We start from the raw sequence: 19,435 nt of genomic DNA, 5'->3' as shown, positions 1-19,435 counted from the left end.
TATCCCATACTCAGATGGATAAACATCCAGCATGCAAGAATTAATGAGTGTATACTTTTCGGCAGGCTTGACAAACTTGCCATTTCTAGTTAGAACACACAATTCAACACATTTGGGAAAATGTGTATTAATTTAGGTTCTTAATTGGAGTAAAAATCAAAAATACTTTAGCATGTGGTAAACATGGGGGACTGTTTAGTAAGGTGTGATCAGAGATGGGAGATTATAAACACTTCAAAAATAGCCATTTTTACCAACAAGCTGAGCTTATTAACTTTTGCCTTACCTCTTAAAATGAACACATCTCTATAGAGCAGCAAAGAAAGTTATTAGCAGCACAAATTTACTTAAAATATCTTTAAACTTTGGAGATTTACTATGACATGATTGAAAACCAGATTGCTTTAGCTTTTTTTTTAAAAAAAAACAGCAAAAACAATTGAAAACTCTCTGCTGGGTCTTCAGCAACAGAATGAACTATTAAAATGCAAAGCTTAAATTAGTTTGATGGTCAGAGAAATGTGCTGCCAATTCTTATATTTGCTTGTTGTACAGTTCAAGGGAGGAAAAACATCTTATAATGCGAAAGAATAGTAAGGTAAGAGAAGGTAAAGAAATAGCAGGAATCCATTATACTTTTACTTGTTTACTAAAAGTTTAATCTGTACCTTTTCTTTGCTAAATTTGTATAAAATTAACTAAAAAAAAATGAAATAATCAATAATTAACAGGCCAGAGAAATAGTGAAATAGGAAGGTTAAAGTACATTAATTGCAATTACCAATTTCCCATCAAGAACTGTGCCAACAAATCTTTTAAAGTATGGCAATCAATCTGATCTAATCAAAAAAGTATAAATTTTCTAAGTATTATATTTCAGAAAGTGTTGAAATCTCATATATTTTACTTTTCTTTTTCTGTAAAGATGTCTAAAACAATTTTGGTAAAATAAAATCTTTAGAGACATACTTTATTTCCATTGTGTTATGCTAAAAGTCATAACATATTTAGGTACTTCTCCCTATTCTTTCATTCCTTTTCATCTCTCTTTGGTAGCTGCCATCAACCATGGACTAAAACCCAAATGACTGACACGGCATCAGTAATCTGGCTTTTACCTATCTCTGTAGTGTCAGTGCTAATTGTCTGGTAATGGAGTGATATTTACGTATTTATTCATGAAAGAGACACGGCACTGGCCAATAAGAAGGACATGAACCCTCAAAGTAGAAGCCAGCTGGTTTCTACTTTGTACCAGGCTGTACCACCAGGCTGAACTCCAGTGCTGCTTCTAAACTACTGGTAATTATTTGCAATTTTCTGTTCAGGTCATGCGTTTCATGACTTCAGATTTTCACAATAGATATTCTACCCTCTTTTCTTCCATGGTCTCTTCTTTAAAAACCACTCATATTTAGTTCTTGTTCTTCTAAATAACTAAACAGAGTTAATCAAAGCCTTCTCTTGTTATCTTTTATACAGACATGACTTTTATCACAGAGAATGGTGATTATCTGCTTATTTTTCTGTCCCAATAGTCTTTCTGAAACTTGAGGGTAGTCTCCCTGCCTTATTCACAGTCTTAGCAAACAGCATAGCAAAATTTTGTTGCAGTGAATTCAGTTGTTATGCCCTAAGTACACCTTTGTGGTGCAATATAATGGAATGGGCTTTAGAGCCAGGTGTGCCTAGGTTTGTGTTTCAACTTTGCAGCTTATTATTTATGTAATTGAGTTCATTGGACACTCAGCTTACCATGTTTCCTCTGAGATTTGAAAAATAGATCTATATATTAAAAATGTTTTAAAAGTAATTTTCTTAACACAATTCAACCCACACAAGCCTAAGATAATTAGCAGAAGCTAGAGCATACACGAAAGCATCTTGCTTTCCCAAGGTCTGTGTGCCCTACATGCTCTAGTTTCTGCGGAGTTCTTCCCCGTTCCCCGCCATTTGCTGTGCTCTAGTGGCACTTGTCTTTTTGCTCTTCCTCAATAACATTAGGAAAATGCATATCTCAGGGCCTTTGTCTTGCTTTTTTTTTTTTTGTGGGAGCGAGGGGATGGCGGGGGCCTTGAATAGTCTTTCCACAAGCATTCACATGCTTTTTGTCGCCTTCTCAGAAAGGTCTTACCTGACTTCCTACCTAAAATGGAGTCCGTGTCATTCTCAGTCATCTCCCAGACTTTATCAGGCTCAACCTTACCTGCCATTGTGCCTTCTATTTCTTGTTTTTTTCATTTTTCTGCCTGTGCCATTAAAATATTAATATAAGCCTTCTGAAGGAGGAGGTTTTGTTTATTATTTTATTCCCATTATCTAGAACCTTATTCAACATACTGAATGAATGAGTTAAAGGAATGAATGGGTTATTGAATCAACTTCCATCTATGCTTAGGTTGTTAGGTCATAGGATTAAGTTAGGCACACTTGAAAGATGTAACTTACTCATGAACATAGTCCATAGGAAACACTGGTAACAAATAGCATGAGACAAACACACTACCTGACTTAAAGAGGTAGTGCTGCTTCTGAGCTGAAAAACGTCTGGTGCTCTAGCTGCACTTGTCCTTTTGCTCTTCCTCAATAACATTAGGCACAGGGGTGTCTCAGGATATGCATGAAGGGTGAGGAAAGTTTTGAAGAGAAATGAAGGTAATAGAGTCTAACCTAAAAAAAGTCATGAAATTCAGTCCTCAGTTTTGTGCTGGCAATGCAAATCACAGCTGTGATACTCAAAGCTGCAGAAGACTAAATTGTTCTCCATTAGGAATGGAATGTAGCAATGGTTGCCACGGTAAATAATTAATGTCTGACTGCCTCAAATCAGCCCTTTCTCTATTATTTTGGCAACCCATACCTGTGCCTGTGAGGGATTTAACTTGTACAGATATCCTCAAACAAAAACATCACAACATAGAATTGAATCTTGAGAAATAAAACATTTAGACATGCTTTCTGTTTGCAATAAAAATAGTTACAGAAGGCACTGGATGGCTCAACTAATAGGAAAGCCAGTCTGTCACGTCTGGGTCAGCATCAAATCTGGCCCAAGTCAGTAGTAAATTAACGTCATTGCCATCTGACAGCTGCTTAGAAGGCTTATGTAGAATGAGTTGTTGTCAGTCCAGCTCTTAGCAAACAGGTGCCCAGATGACAACACCAGCTCTAACAATTGGCACTGATTAGCATCCTTCCTGGCATTGTAGGTGAAAAGCACTCGGGACAACTACCTTGTAATATTTTTACACACTGGTGAGACTATTCGTTGTCTTTATACAGGGTATAAAGAATGTTTGAATAACATACGTTTCTGTCCAGAACGTATTTAGTTGAAAGACAATTTCCCAGTTCTTGATCTTCTATCCACAACACATGCATACTGTGAAGAGTTCTCTTTTTTTTGCCTTATGTCTACCCTTTCACTACCTATTTCCTAGAATGACATGTCCAGGTTTATCTGCTAGATTGTTTTCCCTTTTTTCTTTCTGGATTATGAAGTTGAGAATAAATGGGTTTGCTCATCTTACCTCTTCCTTGTTTCAAACTGTCCTTTATTTGCATTCTACTTCTCCTCCTTTGTTGTCATCTCTATGGTTTAATTCTATGGTTATTTCTAAGGTTTTGAATCCCATCCAATCCCTTCTTCAATATTTCTCTCTCAAAAAAAAATTGCCTGATATCATATATCTTATTTAAATATCAACTTCTCTTATTGCTACTTCCTTTCAACTACTGTTTTCTCCCTGGTTCTCTTCAAAATCAATATCAGAGGTACAAAATTTGGTTTGAGCCCAACAACTTTTTAAGTTTTAAATTAAAATTTCCAGTTACCTACAAAGTATGCTTTCTGGAAATCTTGTTAGTATGTCATGTCTAAGTAGCAGTTGTAATAATAAAACCTAGATTTAAATTGTGGTTCTACTACTTATTACAAAGAACCATTGGAAAAAATTATTTAACTCTCTCCTAGGATTATTTCATTTATCTGTAAAAAGGAGAAAATAATCACGTTGTTATTATGATGGGTTAATATAAAAATAGAGGTTAAAAGTGGACATTCAGTGACTGTTTCCTCTTCTCCCAAATTCAAGATCCAATTTCTCGAAATGCTAGCTATATAGTGTTTCTCATCTCCATCCTTTTCCTATAGACACGAGATGGATCCTGGTATAGGTCTTCAGTACTTAACTTCCAGAAGGTTGAATCTTTCTTCAACTGAATCTAATTGGCTATTTATTCTATTCATTAATTTCAATGACAATATTTTACTTATAGAAGTTCTGTTTAAAGTTTTTCATATTCTTTAATTATTTAACTGTTCTTTCACATCTTAATGATTTTAATTATTTCTGTTCTTTCATGTCTTAACGATTTTAAACAATATATTATAGTTTTAAAAATATTTCCTATTCTTTTAAATTTCTTGTTTTGCTGAGTCTCCTGATTCCTGCATTTGCTGATTCTTCTTCATAATGTTTTGCTTCATGATATTTATAATTATTGTAAACTTATATTCAATGGGATATATTTATCTTTTGGGAGCCCCAAGTGCCTGGTTTGTGAAACAGTTGTTAGAGATGCTTTTGAGTGCATTTCTCTGGGTGTGGAGCCTTCAGGCAGTTCACTGGTCCTGAATCAATTTATGCAACTTTTGATGTTAATTCCATCTGTTCTTGGTTCAGACTAGGAGTTTCCATTTCTGAAAGGCAATTTATTTCCTCTTCTCCAAGAAACTCTGTATGAATTACAAATTTCTTAGACACATTGCAGGCCTGAGAATGCATAGGGTTTTTCTACTTCATGAGGCTAGAGCAGCAATACAGTGCTGGGTCATTGCTGGAGGCTTGGAAGGGCATCGCTGCTTGTGTGAGAGGTGTCGTTAGCATCCTCACAAAGGCTTTAGGACCTCAGCTTCCAGCAGCCAAGGCTTATGTATGATCTAACACTCCAATAGCTTTTTCCTACAGTTCTGGCTTTGATATCCCCCTGCGTTAATTTCCAATACCTAAGGATTCCTAGGTCTTTCTTTTGAGAGAAGCTATAAGTCAATATTTGAAAATATATACTTCCTATAGTTTATGCAGAAGTCATTATGATCTATAATGGTCAGCTTGGTTCACCCCACTGTTCTATTACGACTACTACAAGTACCCTAGTAACAATCTGTCTAAATTTCTCACCACTTCTCCCTGCAATAATCATGGATTCTGTCTTTGCTCCCTGACTCATGCTATTCTGTCACTTTAAATGCTCTCCCAAAATCCTCTCATTAAATTGTTCTCTCTCTTTTCTCCTTCACGAATTCTTTTTGGATAACTGCAATCATGATATGATCTCTATTTTCAGGCTCATAGAAGTAATCTTGCTGTATCTTATATTACTATAGTGTTTGTGTTGTTATCTTATCCATTCCACTAGACCATAAACTCCTAAAGAGCCTGTAGTTTCTTCTTCATCTTTGTTTCCACTATAATCTCTAAAACGCTATGTGACACACAAAAGTACCTGTTCAAAGGGCTTGCTGAATTGAACTAAAACTACAGGAGGATTTTATTTTACTTTCAACTATAATCCACAAATGTTGGCAAGGTAAAAGCAGTAGTCCATAATTATTCAAAACAAAGAAATATGTAATAATTGGAGAACTTTTACACTTCCTGACAGAATTGCTTTGTAAACTATATCCAATTAATATAAGTAGGCAAATGAATTCAGAAATTTTAGACATCTACAGTTATATACTTGCTACCTTTAGAAAATAATAACAACAATCATTTATCATTCTGATTATATCGCAAGCATGAGACTACATGTTTTATAAGGGGTACCTCACTTGAGCTTTAAAACAATCCTTGGAGGTGCCATAATGATTCACATTTACAGATGAAGGAGTGGAGACTTAGTAAGGTTAACTGCATTCTCCAGGATTGCATAGCTCCTAAGTAGTGACTATGGAGATTTGAGCCCAGGCAGTCTGATCCTTAGTTCATGTGCTTAACTAATACTATATGCTTCACTCAGGTTTTATATGGTGCTTTCATTAGAAATTGTCAAAATAAGCATTTTGACAATATTTAAATGTGTTCGTATGTTTAATCTGTCCAGAATATTTAAAAATCATTATCAACCATGTTTGCGTTAAGGAGAAATTCAATCTTTTTCATATGAAGAAACAAAAGACATGAAACAACTTACCGGACTCTTGAGGTATTGAAAATTATTTGAGTAGTAGTTGTTTTTATGGAATATAATGTGTAACCGTTTCTAAAGCCATTTACCAATACCTATAGAAGATTTTGTAGGTAGTTTTACTCAAGTGGAGGTTGAATAAAACCCAAGGTTACCTTAAGGACTCCATTTCCTTTGGGTAGCATGTTTTGATTATTGTAATTTAATCATGGAAATAATTCAGAAAGGTTTTTTGTAATTTTCATATTTCCTTTTAAAATTATAATTATCAGTGATTATGCTTGCTCACATTGCAACACTGTGAGCATTATTGCTCCAAAGGACAAGTCTTAAAAGTTTCTGTGTCATTCATATTTACTACTATTGAGAAGATCAACAGTGAAAGGGGGAAAAATGAGTCTAAAAATAGTTGCTCTTCAGAGTTCTGGATTAAGCCTCCTTGTTCTTTTTATAGAGAGATGTGGAGAGGGTCATGGTTTAAAGAGTAGGTGTGTTTCTGAAATAACCTTATTCTTTTCATTTCAAGCCTCCTACTGCCAGCCACAGTTGCCGCTATTGTGTGAATATTAAAAAAAGGTTTATCATAGTTGCTCTGTGCAAATGATACATTTTAAACATCACATATTTATATATTATTTTCAGCATCAACTCCTACAGCCCATCTGCAAGGTATGTTAAAGGCTTTCACAGTTCTAAGTGGCTTCAATTAAAAGATAATTATACATAGAGCTTTTTTCATAAAGCAACAATCTAAATATACATCTTTTAATTTAGTTCATAATCTGTAATTTCCTAAGACCAAAGTCACTCATTGGACAATGGCATTTGATTATTTATAAATCTACCTGAAGTCTCCAGGAAATATAGAGATTATTCTATGTGAAAAAGAAGGTATACCCTTAGTTCTGGTAAATGAATATTTCTTAATTTTCCCTATGTTTGATACGAAGAGTTTGTGTTCATCTCAGAGTTGCCCTAAAGTGGAAACATCAAGTCTGAAAATAAAATCATTGTCTGGAGACGATATGATAGGGCAGATTTGGTCCAGAATTTCACTGCATGAATCATGTAGGTATCACATAGAACTCAGAATGGTGTGTTGAACAGCATTTGGCCAAAAGTGCTTCAGATATCCCAGTTTCTTGTCTGAGGAATATCTGAAGTGAGAGATTGGACAGCATGAATTTGAGAACTGAAAATTATTGTTGGGAATAAACTGAGCCATGGAGAAAATTGAGTCAGGTATAAACTGTGCATATTTTGCTGTAAAACCTGAAATTTCCAAAATAAGAATGAGAGCATAGTAAATTTGCCTATCCAATATAAACAAGGAATAGCTTTAATTTCAGAGTTTTTGGCTAGAATTTGACAAAACTGCAATCCTGAGCAAAGGACATATGTAGGTGAGACGTCTTTTCTAAACATCAAACAAATCTAGATGTTCTCATAAATATTTTGAGCCAGCAGATGGAACTAGAGCATGCTCTGTGAGCTCAAAACAGTATAGTGGCCACAGACTGGTGCCCAAGCTTTTAGAAACCTCCCCAATCAGAAGCAGAGCACTAAGTAACATGATGTTTCTCTGTAGATTTCTCAATTCTATTTCCATTACTTGACTTTTCTGGTTCTAGGGATTGTACACCAGTCAGAATAGGATAGATTATGCTGTACTAACTACTTCAAAATCTCAGTACCTGAAAGCCACAAAGGAATATTTATCACACCGCATATGCAACCCACATCATCAGGGAGGCTCTGTTTATTACAGTCCTTCAAGGGCTTGAGATGATGGAGGATAAAAGACCTTGCAATGGCAATGAATGACACTCTCAGGCCTGACATGGCAATGGTCACCTCCATGCACAACCAATTGACCAGAACTAGTCACATAGGTACCTAACATCAAGGGGGTGAGGAAGTACAATCCTCCCATATGCCCAGAAGAGGAAAATCAGATATCACCTAATATAATATGTTTTGTGATGGTATGATGCTAACTAACAGTCATTTTACTTCTTTGCCTCTCTCTAATGCCAATGGATTGATTCATCAAAATATCAACGCTGGATAAAATCTACCACAGTGTTTCTCAAACTTTAATGTGCAGTGAATCACAAAGAGCACTTTTCAAAGTTGCTGATTCTGATAACGTAAGTCTGGGGCAGTCTAAGATGCTACATTTCTAACAAGCTCTCAGGTGCTGCGGACACTTCTGGTCCTCAGAAAACATTCTGAATAGCAAGGCTTTAACAAATACCTTCCCTGCACCTGCATACAAGTAGCTCAACTTTGTTGGAGAAAAATCATAACTAAACTGACAGCTATACTCTAAATTCTGTATTTCAGACTTCAGGTTGTACAATGCAGCCTGCTAATCCTATTATATTTCTCTAATAGGCTTATTTTCAACCTTCTGGAAATTACTGTTTTATACCTTTTCATCTCTCTTGGAAAGACACACATTTCCTCCTAAATCCTCACTCTTAGCTAATGATCCTGCCTCATACTAAATGGAGAAAAAAAAAATCCATCAGATGAAAACCCCATAATCTCTCCCACACAAAACCCACTAAGCTCTTTTCACTGTATTCATCTTTCCCATCTGCTTTCCTCTGGTTATAAAGGAGAAAGTATCTTTTTTCCTACCAAAGTGAATTTTTTGACTTTTGCTATGGCTAACATTTCTTTTTGCCTTCTTGGGTTTTCTTTAATTTTTCATGTTTCTCTTCTAAATTTTTACTGGATCATTTATTTTAACATATAAAAATGTTATAATATTTCTCATTTAAAACAAAACAAAATAATACAAAACCCTTTTTTGGCCTTACACATCCTCCTAACTACTACCCTATTCTTCTGCTCTCATTCATTATCAAAATTTAGAAAGGGATAAATACACAACCATTTTTTACTTCCTAATCTCCTGTTCTTTGTGTTGATGACTTCCAAAATTATTTCCTGTCCAGAAATTAGAATCTGAGTTTCCGACTCCCATATCCAATTACATTCTCCAGATTTAATAGAAACAACCTTTGACAACCCAAAACCTCATCTGTCCCAAATTATTCCTCATGGCCCTGCCTTCCCTGCCTCAGAAAAATGACATTATAACCAGCCAAATGTGATTACTAACCTTAATAAAAGACACCATCATCTCTCGTCTGGATTACTGCAGCAGGTTTCAAAGTTTCCAGTCCTGCCACCCTATGGTCTATCCTCCATAGAAACCTCATATGACCCTCTTTAATTAGATCTAATCAAACCATCCCTCTTCTCAATGCATTCCCATTGCACTTAGTATTAAATCCAAACTCCTAGCAAAGGCCTTAAGGCACAGCTCTCTCCAGCCTCATGTCATGACACTCTCTTCTTGCTTACTACCTCTGGCCAGTAGATCTTTTTGCTTTCTTAAAGACCTCAAGGTATTTCCATATGTTATTTTCGCTACATGGAATGTGCTGTCATTTCCTGACATAGTCATTCTCTCTACCGTTTACATGTTTATCTCATGCATTCATCTCATCTTTCAGGTCACAGTATTAAATGTTATTTCTAAGAAGAAATAGAGAGACCTCACTGTTTTTTATTTTATTTTATTTTAATCTGAAGTCGTTTCCAAACATTATTCTGTATGTTGGCACCCTGCTAATTTCCTTTAACATATAAGAATTTGTAATTATTTTTAATCGCATCTCCTGTCTATTTATATTTACATTGAATTTATTGTGTGTTACATTCAAGTTGCTTCTCCAGGTCCTTGAGCTCTACTTGGCACATAGTTAAAGGTCAATGATTATTTGTATAATGAATTAATGGGTAGATGAATGGATACATAAATGATTGAATAACACAGTATAGTTTCTTTTGTAATTTTTTTCCCTTTGGTATTAGTCTAAATATACTTTTCTATACAATTATATTCAATTACAATTATACTATACAATTATATATATACTATATATATGTTATATACTATACAATTATATTCTATCCTATAAATAAGTTTCACTTCAAAAACTTTCAGACAAGATCAGGCCCATTCAGAGTGGTATGGCCGTGAAGACACTTCAAAAAGTTTCAATGCCTAAAACTGACTCTAACATTTATCCTCCAAGCCACACTAAAGGCATACTTTGGGAGAAGCTTAAAAATCTCCTCAGCTTTTAGTGATATAATCAGTAGTAAGTTATAAGGTTAAAAATAGAAAAAAAGTATATTTATTAGAGATATTTCATATACATATTAGGCTTCCTTAAAATTTCCAAGGGAACACAATCATATGTGACTAAAGATTATTTTTCTTTTTTATAATACAATTTAAATTTACTGGTTTGGGATAATGTCTCACTTATATAAGACCAATGATTTTGTCATTGCAACTAGAAAAACTCACATAAATTACAAAAATGACACTTTCAAGGACATCAGAGAGCTATGTAAGTAGTGAGAATGAGATGAACTAAATTTCCAGAAAGTAGAGATCTTTTCTGAGGTAAGCCAAATATTTAATTCATTTCTTTTTCTCCTGCGAAAGTTTCTTAATTCTGGGTAAGAATTGAGGGTCAAGCACGGGTGAGGCAGAGCACCTCTCGGGTAGAAAGATAAATGAATATAATTTGGTTGGCCAGAGATGGAAAAATATAGTGAAAATTTGAGGGGCCCTAAAAATCCTGCTGAGATTTTTTTTCTCGTGAAACATTTGCTGAGCTTCTGCCCTGTGTAAAAAGCTGAGGAGATAGGATGAAGACTTCTTAAATGCAGAATTGCAATTTTCCCTTTCCTTTAAGAGCTTTGGGAACTTAGGGAAGAGTCCAGTGTTAAGCACCCAGCTGGTCTCACCCTCAAGACAGTTGATAGATTTTGAAGTTGCTTGGGCAGAAAGCTAGAACATGGAACTAGCAACTTCTGAAGGCTGAGCTGAATCTCCCTCTGTCTCTCAGAGCTGACAGGATGGGCACATATAGGCTCTACAAACATCATGGAGAAAGGCAGCCTAAGCAGATATAGTCTTATTAAAAGTGCAAAACAGCCCTGACCCAGATCAATTTCCGAATGAATTAAAGTATCAACTCCTCACTGTATTTGAATAGCTAAGGAAAGGAAGGATACTTTTTGGGATACATTAGCCAGTATGATTTGAAACCCATATGTTTATTTTATGCAATGTCTGACATTCAATAAAATATTACCGGATATGAAAAGTGGCCAGGAGATACGACAGACAAAAAGAAAAGCAAAGTAGACTCACAGATTATGCAGATCTTAGAGTTATAAATGTACTTTGGGAGGCTGAGGCAGGCAGATCATGAGGTCAGGAGTTCAAGACCAGCCCGGCCAACATGATGAAAACCCGTTTCTACTGAAAATACAAAAATTAGCCCGGCGTGGTGGCAGGCGCCTGTAATCCCAGCTACTCAGGAGGCTGAGGCAGGAGAATCGCTTGATCGCTTGAACCTGGGAGGCAGAGGTTGCAGTGAGCCGAGATCGCACCATTGCACTCTAGCCTGGGCAATAGAGTGAGACTCTGTCTAAAATAAATAAATAAATAAATAAATAAATAAATAAATAAATAAATAAATAACAAAATAGGTATTGTCCATTCTTTGGAGAACCCCAAAAGTGTTGTGATCTTAAAAACAGAAACAAAGTGTATTCTAGACTAGGAGTCAGTAAACTACAGCCTGCAGGCCAAATCCAACCCATTGCTTGTTTTTGTATAAGTTTTGCTGAAACACAGCCATGCCCATTTGTTATTTACTGTCTGTAGCTGTGCTCTTGTACTACAAAGCAGAGTTGAATAGTTGCAACATAAGCCATATGGCATGTAAAGTCTAAAGTATTTACTATCTTGTTCTTATAGAAGCAGTTCACCAGCCCTGTTCTAGACTTATAATACAATACATAAAGTCAATACAATTGAAAGTTTTACAGGCATAATGGAAAACTCATTAGGAACTTCTGAAATATGTTGTAAACTCTGACATATGAATTGCTTAGAAAAGAAAGATTTAAGTAACACCTCCCTTCCAAGTTTGTTTGTTTCCCATCAGCTTCAATAAATATGAGCTATTACTATTTGCTGTAAACACAGTGAACACATAATTTTATTCAAGACCACATGTTAAAAACTCCATAACTGTGGAGCTGAACTCAGATCTCAAAATTCTAACAGATAGGTTCTGAATAAAATAAAGAGACTTCTGCCCATTTTAGAGAGAGCAATACTCTAACTTTTCCTTGTTATTGTTGGGTTCTGCAATGATTATTTGAATTCCGTAAGTGAGTACTCACAACATTTTGGAGCGTGGTGACAAGAATTAAAAGGCAGTAAAATGCTATGTCTTGAGTACTAAGTTGTCCACATGATTTCATGAGAGGACCATGTAGTTAGAAATACATGTATATGGATGCAAAAATCAATGTTATAATTAGTAATAATAATAACAGTTACTGAATGTGTACTACGGTCTGGTAACAATCCTGTTTAATTGGTCTGGAGTGACTTTCTTATTGATTCAGGGTTAAGAACTTCCATGTGATAATAATGTTGTCAGGATTAAGAACTACTGATTTAGGTGCTCCCTGCTTTTCCATGACTTGTCACGTTCCAGCCTTATTATATTACATAGAATTTGCAGAACAGGTAACTCCTGTCTCACAGGCTCACTCACTCCCACCTAATTGGTGAATACTTGAAAATTAAATCCATCTGCTAGTTCCTATGACCAGCTGAACCTCGGCATTTGTTTACTGGTTTCTTAATTGCTCATTGAAGAAACAATAAGACAGGCATACTTTTTAGCTCAATACATATTTGTTGTAAACGAGACCTATGATGGTATTGTTTTGTTTTCTTCCCCCAAATAAGCTGAAGTAATAAAATGTGTTATCGTCTTTTAGGCAATGTGCTGAGCATTTGTGCAATCAGATGGTGACCAAAAAAGTGTGATATGTGAGGAGTTTTGTTGCATTAACTTGAGAGAAAGTAGGGAGAAAAAAGGAAAGCAAATATTCTCCTACTTTCTGTCTCTTTCTCTTTGTCTCAGTTTCTTTGTCTCTCTTGGTCTCTCTGTCTGTAGCTCCAGCTATCTGTTCTAATAAACTACCCATAAGAGTAGAGGAAAGTAGGAGAAATAAAGTCCTTAAATGGGATTCAAGTTCTTTAACATCTGTAAAAAATGTTAGGTAAAGATGACTAAATAATCACTCCAACATTTGTATTTGTTTGTTTAATGAAGATTTGAATCATAGAAACAGAGTTTTAAGGAACAATAACCTAAAAGGGGATATTTATACCTAACTCTTCATATTTCCCTATGGAAGAGCTTCCATTAGAGTAGTATCTTTAGCCTTTCTCCATCTTCATCACTCACTCATCTCCAGGGAAGGAGGAGTGATATACCTGTCCAATAAATTTAGGAGAAAGCATTGGTATGCTTGGATCAACTCCCTTTGCTTTAGATTTGTCTACCTACAGGGGCATACATTCTGCCAATTACACACAGCTTGTCTCCCCAGGTGTGTGTTTGTATGTATGTAAAAGAGAGGAAGAGGAGGAAGAGGAGAGAGAAGAGAGAGAGAAAGAGAATGTTGCCTGTGATTGTTCACATATACCAAAGACAAAATAAGTCTATTTGTTCAAGTGTAGGCTGGCCCACTGGACTACAATATTTAGTCATGTTCTCCAAATAGCTTATAAGTAATAAGAAATGATATTGTTAATTTATTTGACTCCTGTGCCTATTTTTCAAGAATTCTGCAATTATGTTTACTTTTTCTGGTATACAATTCAAAAAATACTCCAGAGTATCAAATGAAACATTAACATATTAAAAATTTAAACTTTCCAAGAATCTCACAACGTTTAGCACTTTGTTCTCATATTCTCAATTTTATTTAATTGGATAAGTGTATTTGTGTCTTTTTTAAAAAACAACATTGATATGATAGTGTCTAACTTTGCATCTTATAAGGCTTCCAAATAAACTTCATAAGTATTAACTAATTGAAATTGTTATACAATGGCCGAATAATTTCATAAAGTGATGTCACCAATCACTACACATTTCTAGGTATTTGGGGGCTGGAGAAATTGCACATGAAGGCTTATACTTGTTCCTTTCATGTGGTTAACATGCATAAACATTAAGTCTGGTGTATCACCTTCTCAGAACTCTCCAGCTGCTAGTATCCTTCTACTTATAAGAAAAGTAGCAAAGTCGTGCTTTACTCAAAAATCTTTGAAATATTTATTAATAGTATATGCTTAGTATTATGTTAGGACTATAGCAATGAAGATTTACAAAAAAAGAAAAAAACCAAATGTCCAACATGACAGATTAGTGATTTTATATCTTAAACTTATTGATGGCCCTTTTGTTTACCTCAACTGGTTTATAATTGAGAGTTCATAGAACATACACAACTAATGTTTATTAATGATAAAATTTCATTTCAAATTTAGGTGATTGCTATATATTTATAAAGTAGGTATACACATATATTGTAATCTATGTTTCAAATAGTTGGAAAACATAGAGCTCCCTATTTTAAATATTTTTCTACAGTAGATTATAATTAATTATTATTGAATGAACTTTTAGAATATAGAAGGGTAAGGAAATGAAATCTCTCAAGGATTAAATGTTGAAATGATAAACTCTACTAGAGGAGAAAAATGCACAGTCTCCAAACTAATTTAAGAATTTGAGGAAGTCTCAAATGTTCTATATCACAAATACTATCCAGTTTTGCTACTTAGACAAAGCATGACTTAGCAAAGCAACAGAATGAGTAAGCCTATGCAGAAATGTTGATCTCATTTCTGTTTCCAATTGAGTATGCAGAGTGTGGATGATGAGGCTGATGTGTGACATAAGCATTATTGAAAGCATACATTCATTCATTCTATACTTTACTGAACATGTAAAAAGATCATGCTCTTTAGGCAAGCCCTAGATTTGTGTATGTATGCATGTACAAATGTGTGTGTATATTTCATACATGTATTTAAGCATAATTCATATGCCAAAATATATGCAACATCTATCTTATCTCTATCATCTATCTGTGTATCTACCTACCTATCTATCTATGTATCTATCTACCTACCTACCTACCTATCCAACCATCTATCCATATCTAATTTATCTATACTTTTCTACAGGTACAGCTCAAATTAACAATATGTTGAGTTCCAAAATTTTATTCTTATTGAAACAATACTTTAAACTCAAAATCAATTTTCTGAACCCAGAAATATTAATGCCCATTGTTACACAACTCTTTCACAATGTATGATTATTCCACATATCTCATTTGTTCCATTCCAAAACTTCCACAGGTGCTAAGATGATGGAACCAATTCCATTTTGTAAATAGCAAGCTAAGACTTGAGTGTGATCATATGACTTTTCCTAAGAACATGTAAGCAGAAAATACTGCTCCCAGCAATAGAGTATAAGACAGATGATTTCATATCAAAAGTTCAGAAGGTTGAATGGCCTAAAGAAAAGAGATTAGGTTTTGGAACAATTGCGCCTAGGGCATACTTTTCACTCTTTACCTCACTGAAGTGACTGCTCCCCGACAGATATTCAGATTCTTTTTATGTAAACTGCGGCATGGACACCCATCTTGCAGATTCTTGTGAGGACTGGGATTCATTTATGAAAGTTTCCAGCCTAGTGCCTAGTACTATGTAGGAGCCGAATAAACAGAGGCAGCTTTTTACTATACAAGATCATGCACCTGATAATTGTACCCAAGTCAACAAGGGCATATTCATATTTGCTGTCAATTATTGACTGAATAATTTCAACAGGATTCACACTTTGAGATTTCATTTCTTCTATTTCACTGAGTGTATCTATCTTAATCCATTATCAGATGGCCTGCACTCAAGAATGAAACCCCATTTAAATGTTGCAGTACAAAACAGTACATTTGGAAAGTGAAAATTTTCTGCAACAAAAGTGATACTATTAATTCTTAGCAAATTTGTAAAGATTGCTCTGTTATTTACTTAATCCCTGTAATTATTCCCATTCATCACCACGACTGAACAAGAACTGAATATGGATATAATTAAACAAAGTCTAATGACTAAAATTAGAAAAAAAAATCCATTAAAATTTAATTTATACATTTTTACTTATACCTAATTTTGAAATATAATGGTCTGAGTTATTGACAGCTATTAATAAAAGAAGCTTTATATTTCATATTCTTACATTTTATATTATGAAGCTAAGCTATATGTTATATTCCCTCACTTATATATATTTTTGTCTCTAAATAGAAACAAAAAAAGACTATAAAAAATACATGTGTATATTTATATTTATATATCTGCATATAATATATAAATATAAAATCTTATTTATATTTCTATTTTTGAATTTATATCAATATAATGCATATTATATGATATATAAATATAAAACTTTATGTTTATGTGATAAATATAAAAAAATATATATTTTTCTATATTGTAAGTATATATTTACAACAGAAATAAGGCTGTATATAGCCAAATAATCATCAATTACTGCTATACACATATCTGTAGCAATGGCCCTTGAACAACACAGGTTTGAACTGTGCAGTCCACTTACATGCAGATTTTGTATTGCCTCTGCCACTCCTGAGCCTGCAAGACCAACCCCTCCTCTTTCTCCTTCTCAGCCTAAAGATAATGAGGATGAAGACTTTTATAATAATCCACTTCCACTATTCAAGCAAATATAATTTATCTTCTTTATGACTTTCTTAATAACATTTTCTTTTCTCTAGCTTACTTTATTGTAAAAATACAGTACAAAATATATGTAACATATGGAATATGTGTTAATAAACTGTTTTTGTTATCGGTGAGCCTTCCTTACTGGTCAAGAACAGGCTATTAGTAAATGTGAAGGGAGTCAAAAGTTACATATGGATTTTCGACTGCCCTGGGTGTTGGCGCCCCTAACGGCCACATTATTCAAGGGTCAACTGTATATAGATATACATAAGTATATATAATGACAGAAATAATTCTCCAGATAGTTAAATAATGATAAATTTAACTCCAAGTTTCATAAGGAAACATGCTGTACAGAATTTGACTTTCAGATTTTAAAAAAATGCTTTTCTTTTTCTGATAATGAAACAAATACTAATTCTATTAGTTGATAGGGGTTGTTATTGTATAAGCTATTTCTCCATCCACAAGCAAGAATACTCTTTAGGATTCTTACAAAAGTTATGTATATTTTTGAGTGACAGTAAGAACAGTAAAAGAAAATATAAGCACAACAAAACATAAAGGCATTTAAGTAAACATCACTCCTGCCAAGATTAAACTTCCCAGTTGGCTCATGTTCATATTTTGTTCTACACCCTACAGTGTTTATTCATGTATGGAGGCCCTGTTGACTGTCAGGATGAAATGACAACAGTCTGCAGTAATGACAATGACTTGTACTTGTAAAATACCAAGCAAAATGTAACTATGCTCAAAATATTCATGCATCATACTCTGTGAATAAGTCAATGATATGTGGGAAAAGAAGAGCTATTTTTTGGAAAATTTGGCCCATGTAATCTTTTGGGAGTAATTAAGTTTCTCTGGTGCAATAACACTGTCATTTATTTTAATGTCTTAATCTCAAACTGCAGTGAGAAATTTGATAGCTAAGTGACACAGCTTTATCACTGTCCAACTACTGCAAATTTAAATAATTTAATTTTAAAATGTATGATATTTTAAAATAAGTATTTAACACAGACTTAAGCCAACCATAATGCATATGTTTAACTTTTATAGGTAAAACTGAATAACAGATTTTGCTCAGGCCTTTCCCCCACTAGACAAAGGGTTCTTTCATTTAAATAGCAGGATCCATAAAAACCCAAGTCCTAGGAACAAAACAATTTAGCACTGACCTATAAAAATTAGCTTTCTATCACATTGCTTTCTCCTTCAGGCATTTCTTTTTTAGAGATGTTACTGATTTGATTGTACAGCAGAAGGTTAAATTCTCACACAGTGATCATTAGCAAAAAATAAACAGAGCAAGTACTAAAGCTGGCTTTGCACCTACTGAATGCTGCAAGTGTCTGTACTCATTTGATATGCATCTTGCAAAGCTCGGCTGTTCCCAGAAGGCCACTCCATGAAGACTGAGAGAGCAGCGTCTGCTAGTGGTGCCTGTGTGTCACAAAGAACAGAGAGAAGCTTTATAATAGGGATGTTTGAAGGCATCACACTTAGCTGGGAATCAGGCTAAAAATTAAGTTTGTACTTTTTTTCTTTAAAAAACATGCACATGAAATTGATATTTTGATTATTTTTATAATGCATATTAGTCACACTGAGAAACAATTACACCAGCAATATTTTCTATATCTCTTCATTGGCTTCATTTATGAAGCACTTTACTAAAATTGTTTCATTATTTGCTTATTGGACAGACTTATTTATGGATATAAGACAAAAACATGACTTCATAAACCAACACTGCATGCTGTTCTTGGATGGGGATTATCACTAGGGTTTGGGTGGGTCATCCTACTGTACCTGTGGCATTCAGGGGACATTGATTGAATGCCAAGTCGCCTGCTGGAGTTCTTTTCCACACCATCGACATCAGATAATCCTCAGGGCATATTTCATAAGGTGCTGCAATTTTAAACAAAGGGACTTGAATGTCAGTAGTGTTTAAAAAATTTTGGCAATAAACAATTGTCAAAGGCACCTCTCTAACTGCAGAGCTCTTTAGTTTTCTTTTTTTTTCTTTCTTTTTTTTAGAGATGGGGTCTCACTCTGTTGCCCAGGCTGGAGTGCACTGGCATGATCCTAGCTCACTGTGCAGCCGCAAACTACTGGGCTCAAGCCATCCTCCCTCCTTAGTCTCTTGAGTAACTAGGACTACAGACGTGTGTTGCCACATCTGGCCGATTTTTTGTTTTAATTCTACGTAGAGAAAGGGTCTCCTTATGTTGCCAGGCTCATCTTGAGCTTCTCCCAAAGTGCCAGGATTATAGAATTGAGCCACCATGCACAGGCTCTTTCATTTGCTTTAATGTATATTGTTTACTGAAATGTTAGTGGCATAAACATACATAAAAACCCATCAGATTTCCTTTTAGTATCTACAAAGTATTTACAGAATTGTAATTTCTTTTTGAACTGCTTACTGTGTAGACTATTTATAGAGGTCATTTGGATTTGCCTACAAGTTGAACATATTCAGGCATA

General features: G+C 34.6%; 1 protein-coding gene across 1 annotated transcript in view; it reads right to left on the bottom strand.

Annotated features, from left to right (window-relative positions):
• Positions 1–19,435, bottom strand: part of ADGRB3 (adhesion G protein-coupled receptor B3) — a 754,225-nt gene that overhangs the window by 395,888 nt on the left and 338,902 nt on the right. Inside the window, exons 9-10 of the mRNA NM_001704.3 lie at positions 18,755–18,856; positions 18,279–18,385 (exon numbers count right to left, since the gene is read on the bottom strand). Coding sequence (NP_001695.2) covers positions 18,279–18,385; positions 18,755–18,856 — 209 coding nt within the window. The remainder of the gene's footprint in view (positions 1–18,278; positions 18,386–18,754; positions 18,857–19,435) is intronic.

Source organism: Homo sapiens, chromosome 6 (assembly GCF_000001405.40).
Source record: "Homo sapiens chromosome 6, GRCh38.p14 Primary Assembly".
NCBI classification, from domain to species: Eukaryota; Metazoa; Chordata; class Mammalia; order Primates; family Hominidae; genus Homo; species Homo sapiens.
The sequence above is the reverse complement of the archived record's forward strand: the minus strand, read 5'-3'. Positions and strand labels throughout refer to the sequence as shown.